Below are 9,254 nucleotides of genomic sequence, written 5' to 3' on the forward strand. Positions count from 1 at the left end.
TCAGCAAGGGAACAAAACTGGACAGAGAATGAGTTTGACAAATTGACAGAAGTAGGCTTCAGAAGGTGGGTAAGAACAAACTCCTCTGAGCTAAAGGAGCATATTCTAATGCAATGCAAGGAAGCTAAGAACCTTGAAAAAAGGTTAGAGGAATTGCTAACTAGAATAACCAGTGTAGAGAAGAGCATAAATGACCTGATGGAGCTGAAAAACACAGCACAAGAACTTCGTGAAGCATACACAAGTATCAATAACTGAATCGATCAAGCAGAAGAAAGGATATCAGAGACTGAAGATCAACATAATGAAATAAAGCATGAAGAGAAGATTAGAAAAGAAAAATGAAAAGGAACAAACAAAGCCTCCCAGAAATGTGGTACTATGTGAAAAGACCAAACCTACATTTGATTGGTGTACCTGAAAGTGATGGGGAGAATGGAACCAAGTTGGAAAACACTCTGCAGGATATTATCCAGGAGAAATTCCCCAACCTAGCAAGACAGGCCAACATTCAAATTCAGGAAATACAGAGAACACCACAAAGATACTCCTCGAGAAGAGCAACCCCAAGACACATAATTGTCAGATTCACTAAGGTTGAAGTGAAGGAAAAAATGTTAAGGGCAGCCAGAGAGAAAGGTGGGGTTACCCACAAAGGGAAGCCCATCAGACTAACAGCAGATCTCTCTGCAGAAACCCTACAAGCCAGAAGAGAGTGGGGGCCAATATTCAACAGTCTTAAATAAAAGAATTTCAACCCAGAATTTCATATCCAGCCAAACTAAGCTTCATTAGCAAAAGAGAAATAAAATCCTTTACAGACAAGCAAATGCTGAGAGATTTTGTCACCACTAGGCCTGCCTTACAAGAGCTCCTGAGGGAAGCACTAAACATGGAAAGGAACAACCGGTACCAGCCACTGCAAAAACATATCAATTTGTAAAGACCATTGACACTATGAAGGAACTGTATCAACTAACAGGGAAAATAACCAGCTAGCATCATAATGACTGGATCAATTTCACACATAACAATATTAACTTTAAATGTAAATGGGCTAAATGCCCCAATTAAAAAGACACAGACTGGCAAATTGGATAAAGAGTCAAGACCCATTGGTGTGCTATATTCAGAAGACCCATCTCATATGCAAAGACACACATAGGCTCAAAATAAAGGGATGGAGAAAGATCTACCAAGCAAATGAAAAGCAAAAAAAAAAAGCAGGGGTTGCAATCCTAGTCTCTGATAAAATAGACTTTGAACCAACAAAACTCAAAAAAGACAAGAAGGGCATTACATAATGGTAAAGGAATCAATGCAACAAGAAGACCTAACTACCCTAAATATATATGCACCCAATACAGGAGTGCTCAGATTCATAAAGCAAGTTCTTAGAGACCTACAAAGAGACTTAGACTCTCACACAATAATACTGGGAGACTTTAACACCCCACTGTCAATATTAGAGAAATCAATGAGACAGAAAATTAACAAGAATATCCAGGACTTGAACTCAGCTCTGGACCAAGCAGACCTAATAGACATGTACAGAACTCTCCATCCCAAATCAACAGAATATACATTTTTCTCAGCACCACATCACACTTATTCTAAAATTGACCACATAATTGGAAGTAAAACACTCCTCAGCAAATGCAAAAGAACAGAAATCATAACAAACAGTCTCTCAGATCACACTGCAATCAAATTAGAACTCAGGATTAAGAAACTCATTCAAAACTGCACAACTATATGGAAACTGAACAACCTGCTCCTGAATGACTACTAGGTAAATAATAAAATAAAGGCAGAAATGAATAAGTTCTTCAAAACCAATGAGAACAAAGACACAACATGCCAGAATCTCTGGGACACAGCTAAAGCAGTGTTTAGAGGGAAATTTATAGCACTAAATGCCCACAGGAGAAAGCAGGAAAGATCTAAATTCAACAACCTAACATCACAATTAAAAGAACTAGAGAGGCAAGAGCAAACAAATTCAAAAGCTAGCAGAAGACAAGAAATAACTAAGATCAGAGCAGAACTGAAGGGGATAGAGACACGAAAAACCTTTCAAAAAAAAATCAATGAATCCAGGAGCTGGTTTTTTTGAAAAGATTAACAAAATAGATAGACCACTAGCCAGACTAATGAAGAAAAGAGAGAAGAATCAAATAGAAACAAACAAAAAAAATGATAAAGGGGATATCACCACTGATCCCACAGAAATGCAAACCACCATCAGAGAATACTATAAACACCTCTACACAAATAAACTAGGCAATCCAGAAGAAATGAATAAATTCCTGGACATATACACCCTCCCAAGACTAAACCAGGAAGAAGTCAAATCCCTGAATAGACCAATAATAAGTTCTGAAATTGAAGCAGTAATTAGCCTACTGGCCAAAAAAAGCCCAGGACCAGACGGATTCACAGCCAAATTCTACCAGAGGTACAAAGTGGAGCTGGTATCATTCCTTCTGAAACTATTCCAAACAGAAAAAGAGGGACTCCTCCCTAACTCATTTTATGAGGCCAGCATCATCCTAATGCCAAAACCTAGCACAGACACAACAAAAAAAAGAAAATTTCAGGCCAATATCCCTGATGAATATCGATGCACAAATCCTCAATAAAATACTGGCAAACCGAATCCAGCAGCACATCAAAAAGCTTATCCACCACAATCAAGTCGGCTTCATCCCTGGGATGCAAGGCTGGTTCAACATACGCAAATCAGTAAATGCAATCCATCACATAAACAGAACCAATGACAAAAACCACATAATTATCTCAATAGATGCAGAAAAGGCCTTCGATAAAATCCAACACCGCTTCATCCTAAAAACTCTCAATAAATTAGGTATTGATAGAATGTATCTCAAAATAAGAGCTACTTATGACAAACCTACAGCCAATATCATACTGAATGGACAAAAGCTGGAAGCATTCCCTTTGAAAACTGGCACAAGACAAGGATGCTCTCTCTCACCACTCCTATTCAACGTAGTATCAGAAGTTCTGGCCGATGCAATCAGGCAAGAGAAAGAAATAAAGGGTATTCAAATAGGAAGAGAGGAAGTCAAATTGTCTCTGTTTGCAGATGTCATGACTGTATATTTAGAAAACCCCACTGTCTCAGCCCAAAATCTCCTTAAGCTGATAAGCAACTTCAGCAAAGTCTCAGGATACAAAGTCAATGTGCAAAAATCACAAGCATTCCTATACACCAATAATAGACAAACAGGGAGCCAAATCATGAGTGGACTCCCATTCACAATTGCTACAAAGAGAATAAAATACCTAGGAATATGACTTACAAGGGATGTGAAGGACCTCTTCAAGGAGAATTACAAAGCACTGCTCAAGGAAATAAGAGAGGACACAAACAAATGAAAAAACATTCCATGCTCATGGATAAGAAAAATCAATATCATGAAAATAGCCATACTGCCCAAGGTAATTTATAGATTTAATGTTATCCCATCAAGCTACCACTGACTTTCTTCACAGAATTGGAAAAAATGATTTTAAACTTCACATGGACTCCCAAAAACAGACCGTATAACCAAGACAATCCTAAGTAAAAAGAACAAAGCTGGAGGCATTACGCTACCTGACTTCAAACTATACTACAAGGCTACAGTAACCAAAACAGCATGGTACTGGTACCAAAACAGATATATAGACAAATGGAACAGAATAGAGGCCTCAGAAATAACACCACACATCTACAGCCATCTGATCTTCGACAAACCTGACAAAAACAAGCAATGGGGAAAGGATTCCCTGTTTAATAAATGGTGCTGGGAAAACTGGCTAGCCATATATAGAAAGCTGAAACTTTCCTTACACCATATACAAAAATTAACTCAAGATGGATTAAAGACTTAAATGTAACACCTAACACCATAAAAACCCTAGAAGAAAACCTAGGCAATATCATTCAGGACATAGGCATGGGCAAAGACTTCATGACTAAAACACCAAAAGCAATGGCAACAAAAGTCAAAATGGACAAATGGGATTGAATTAAACTAAAAATCTTCTGCACAGCAACAGAAACTATCATCAGAGTGAACAGGCAACCTACAGAATGAGAGAAAATCTTTGCAATCTATCCATCTGACAAAGGGCTAATATCCAGAATCTACAAAGAACTTAAACAAATTTACAAGAAACAAACAAATAGCCCCATCAAAAAGTGGGCAAAGGATATGAACAGATACTTCTCAAAAGAAGACATTTATGCAGCCAAAAGATACATGAAAAAATGCTCATCACCACTGGCCATCAGAGAAATGCAAATCAAAACCACAATGAGATACTATCTCATACCAGTTAGAATGGCAATCATTAAAAAGTCAGGAAACCACAGATGCTGGAGAGGATGTGGAGAAATAGGAATGCTTTTACACTGTTGGTGGGAGTGTAAATTAGTTCAACTATTGCGGAAGACAGTGTGGCGTTTCCTCAAGGATCTAGAACTAGAAATACCATTTGACCCAGCCATCCCATTACTGGGTATATAACCAAAGGATTATAAATCATGCTACTATAAAGATACATGCACACGTATGTTTATTGCGGTACTATTCACAATAGCAAAGACTTGGAACCAACCCAAATGTCCATCAATGATAGACTGGATTAAGAAAATGTGGCACACATACACCATGGAATACTACTATGCAGCCATAAAAAGGGATGAGTTCATGTTCTTTGCAGGGACATGGATGAAGCTGGAAACCATCATTCTCAGCAAACTATCACAAGGACAGAAAACCAAACACCACATTTCCTCACTCATAGGTGGATGTTGAACAACAAGAACACATGGACACAGGGCAGGGAACGTCACACACTGGGCTGGGGGAGGGATAGCATTAGGAGAAATACCAAATGTGAATGACGAGTTGATGGATGCAGCAAACCAACATGGCACATGTAGACCTACGTAACAAACCTGCACATTGTGCACATGTACCCTAGAACTTAAAGTATACATATTAAAAAAAAGAACATTAGGTCAATGGAGAACAATATTTCTCCTATATCATCATCATAATCATCACCATTATCATCACCACCATTGATAAAGGCCAGGCTAAAAGACATGGCTTAGATGAGGAGCAACAATGGGCATTGTAATGCTAAACCCTACAATTGAACAAATTTATCCACCAAGTCATATGCAAAAGAAGACAACTACAGACCTCTCCAGGTGAGAATTCACCTTGTGAAACAACTTCAGGCATGGAAAAGCTGACCAGAATTCATACACCCAGCAATTTATTCTCAAGAGTAAAAGAGAAGGGATAGAGCCATGAATGTTCAGTTCCACATCCCATACTCACCAACAAATTATTTAACTCACTTATACATATGGATGCCCCATATCCTGAAAACTGAATTTAAATAAATTTCTTCCTTCTTTGTCACGTCCCTCCTCCACCACCTATAAAGTCATAGTCCAAGGACTTAAGGAGAGTTGGAAAATAGAATATAGAGTTAGAGAAGTCTTCAGAGATCACTCAGCCTGCCTCATCAGTGCAGGAAGGTGAAGTGACTTGTCCAAGGTCACACAGTTAATTAGTGGAAAATCTTAGGCTAGTATCCCTTAGTTCATAGAGATCTTGGAAAATATGCTGTTACTTGATTCCATAATTTTTTACACCACTCAGAGGTGCCTTTGAGAAGAAACATCAGCCAGATGGTGATAACTTTTTCAAAGAATCTCTAACCCAGAGAGGGAACTTAATGAAGCAGCAGTCTTTCACATGGCCCTTATTTATCCTAATCTGAGCAATGTCTTCTGAGGCCACTAGCTGTGTTCCTTCTCCTACTCTGGAAAGTCCATGTCTTTCTACCCAGAAAATGACAAAAGACTGACTCTGTCCATTGCTTCTGGGGAACCACCTCCCAACTAGAACAGGACTTGACACATAGCAGGCACTCAAGAGATGGTGAGTGATGAATGAATAAACAGGTTTTCCTCTCATTCAGAGGGGGTATGAGATGAAAAAAGTCAGTGCTATTCCAGTTAAGGCAATAAAGAAACACAATCAAGAAATGCATCAATTTACTAAACCCTGCCAAAAATATTTTCTAAACATTTTGGCCTGAAATGAATCCAATTATTAACAATTATCATTCGAATTGACTTAAGTGGAAAGAATGGAAAGGAAAACCCAGAGTAAAGAAACAGTGGGAGACAGATGCAAGTAAAAAAATTAAAAAGTATTACGGAACCACAATATTTATGAGGGACAGTCCTAAGAATCCCATGATTTCCCAGATTGATAAGGGAACAGTGAGCACTAAACCAAGTTCACTCCTGAGTAAAATGCCTCACTTCTGAATACCAGCCCCAGAGCATTTAAGATTTGTATTATGCCAGGAACTTTATGTATCCTATTCTATTTTAACCTTACAATCATCTACCATGAGGTATGCATCACAGACTCCATCATATGAGGACATTATGCTAAATGAAATAAGTCAGACATAGAAAGAAAAATATTGCATGATCTCACTTATATGTGGAATCTAAAAAAAATAATAATATATAGAGAGAATAAAACAGAGGTTACTGGCAGAGGAAATGGGGCAATGTAGGTCAGAGTATACAAAGTAGCAGATATGTAGGATGAACAGGTCCAGACATCTAGTGTACAATATGAGGACTACAATTAATAAAATTATACTGTATTTGGGATTTCTGCTAAGTTAGTATATTTTAGCTGCTCTTACCACAAAAATGTAAGTAACTATGTGAGATGATGAATATATTAATATTAGTTGGCTTCATTACAGTAACCATTTTACTATGTATCGGTATCCCATGACATCATGCTGTACACCTTAAATATACACAATACAATTTATTTAAAATAACAAACTCCACCATATACTATACATGTTAGGAACCTTCACAAATGTTAAATTGCTAGATACCAAACTTGTGCTATATAAATGTTTAAGTTTACTTCCTTCTCTCTCTCTCCTTTGGCTAAAAATTTTCCTCTTGCTCATTCACATGTAAATCCATTGATTTAAAAGTATTTATTAAGTAATAGATGGGAAAATAGATTAGTATATATGAGCAATGAACAATTTGTAATAAAATTAAGAATACAATGCTATTCAAAATAGCATCACAAGGAATAAAATACTAAGGAATAAATTTGACAAAAGAAATGCAAGATTTATACACTGAAAATTACAAAACTTTGAGGAAGCTAAAGAAGATATAAAGGCCGGGTGGGGTGGTTTACACCTGTAATCCCAGCACTTTGGGAGGCTGAGGTGGGTGGATCACGAGGTCAGGAGATTGAGACCATCCTGGCTAACGTGGTAAAACCCCGTCTCTACTAAAAAATACAAAAAATTAGCCAGGCGTGGTGGCACGCACCTGTAATCCCAGCTACTCAGGAGGCTGAGGCAGGAGAATGGCGTGAACCCAGGAGGCGGAGCTTGCAGTGAGCCGAGATCGTGCCACTGCACACCAGCCTGGGCAACAGAACGAGACTCTGTCTCAAAAAAAAAGAAGATCTAAATAAATGGAGAAACATTCCATATTTATGGAATGGGAGATTCAGTATTGTTAATATGACAATTCTCCCCAGCCTGATCTATACATTGCATGCAAATTTCAGTATGCATTTTTGAAGATATCATCAAGCACAGCCAAACATTTATGTGGAAATGCAAAATACCTAGCACAGCTGAAACAATTTTGAAAAAGAACAAGGTTGAAGGACTTTCACATCTTCATGTAGAAACTTATTATAAAGTCACAGTTGTAAAGACAGTAGGACTAGGATCAAGATAAACATATACATCTGGAACAGAATTGAGAATCCAGAAATAAATCTCTATATTTTAAGTCAATTGAGTTTTGGCAAAGGTGTCAAGGCAATTCACTGGGCAAAAGATTACATTTAACAAATGGTGCTGGGACCAGATGCAAACCAGATGCAAAAAAGATGAACTTAGATCCTCACCTCACACCATATACAAAAATTATTATGGATTATAGATTTAAATGTAAGAGCTAAAAATACAACTTTTAGAATAAAATATAGGAGAAAATCTTCAAGACCTTGGATTAGGCAAAGATTTCTTAGATATGACACTAAAAGCACAGTCATTACAAGAAAAAAATTGAAAAATTAGACCTCATCAAAATTTAAAACGTTTGCACTTCAAAATACATCATAACAAAAATAAACAGACAAGCAACAGACTGGGGGGAAATGTTTGCAAAACTCATGTCAAAATAAAGGACTTGTAACTAGAAGATATGAAGAATACTTACAACTCAATAAGACAAAAAACCGAATCAAACCATGGGCAAAAGACATGAACAGAGATATATGAATAGCTAATAAGCATATGAAAAGATGCTCAACATCATTACTCATTAGGCTAATACAAATGAAAACCACAGTGAGACACCATATCACATTCACTAGAATGGCTAGCAGACAGACAGTAATAAATGTTGGTGAGCAGGTGGAGAAAAAGGAACTCTCAACCATTGCTAGCGAGAATATAAATTATATAGCCACTTTAAAAAATGATTTGCCAGTTTCTCAAAAAGTTAAACATAAAACTACCATACAACCAAGCGATTCTACTTCTAGGTATCTACCCAAGATAAATGAGAACATATGTTCACATGAAAACTTTCACCAGAGTGTTTATGCCAGCATATATTAAAGACAACCCAAATGTCCATCAATTGGTGAATGTATAGACAAACTGTGGCATATCATTACAATGGAATATTATTTAGCAAAAAAAGGGAACAGACTAAGCTAGGTGCAGTGGAGTACCTGTAATTTCAGCTACTCAGGAGGCTGAGGTGGGAGCACTGCTTGAGACTGGGAGTTCAAGACCAGCCTGGGCAAAAGAGCAAAACCCTGTCTCAAAAAAAAAACAAAGCAAAACAAAAAACAGACCATTGACACAAGCTACATGGTGAATGAACCTCAAAAACATTGTATAAAGTAAAATAAGCAAGACACAAGAGACCATACATTGAATGACCCCATTCATCTAAAATGGTTTCTCAAAAAGATACATTTATAGAGAAAGAAAGTAGAATAGTGGTTAATTGGGAGTAGGGTTATATGAGCTGTGACTATAAATGAGCATAATGGATCCAATTCGGGGACAAAAATGTTATAAAACTGATTTATGGTGATGGTGGTACCACTTGGTAAAGTTACTAAAAATCATTA

At 37.2% G+C, this 9,254-nt stretch overlaps 1 annotated feature.

Annotated features, from left to right (window-relative positions):
* Positions 4,832-5,417: an enhancer, noted in NCBI's record as "OCT4-NANOG hESC enhancer chr3:107195157-107195742 (GRCh37/hg19 assembly coordinates)". NCBI's record gives its function as "activates a minimal SCP1, AML or CMV promoter by ChIP-STARR-seq in primed H9 embryonic stem cells {active_cell/tissue: H9 hESC(primed)}" and the evidence as "EXISTENCE:reporter gene assay evidence [ECO:0000049][PMID:30033119]".

Source organism: Homo sapiens, chromosome 3 (genome assembly GCF_000001405.40).
Source record: "Homo sapiens chromosome 3, GRCh38.p14 Primary Assembly".
Taxonomy (NCBI): domain Eukaryota; kingdom Metazoa; phylum Chordata; class Mammalia; order Primates; family Hominidae; genus Homo; species Homo sapiens.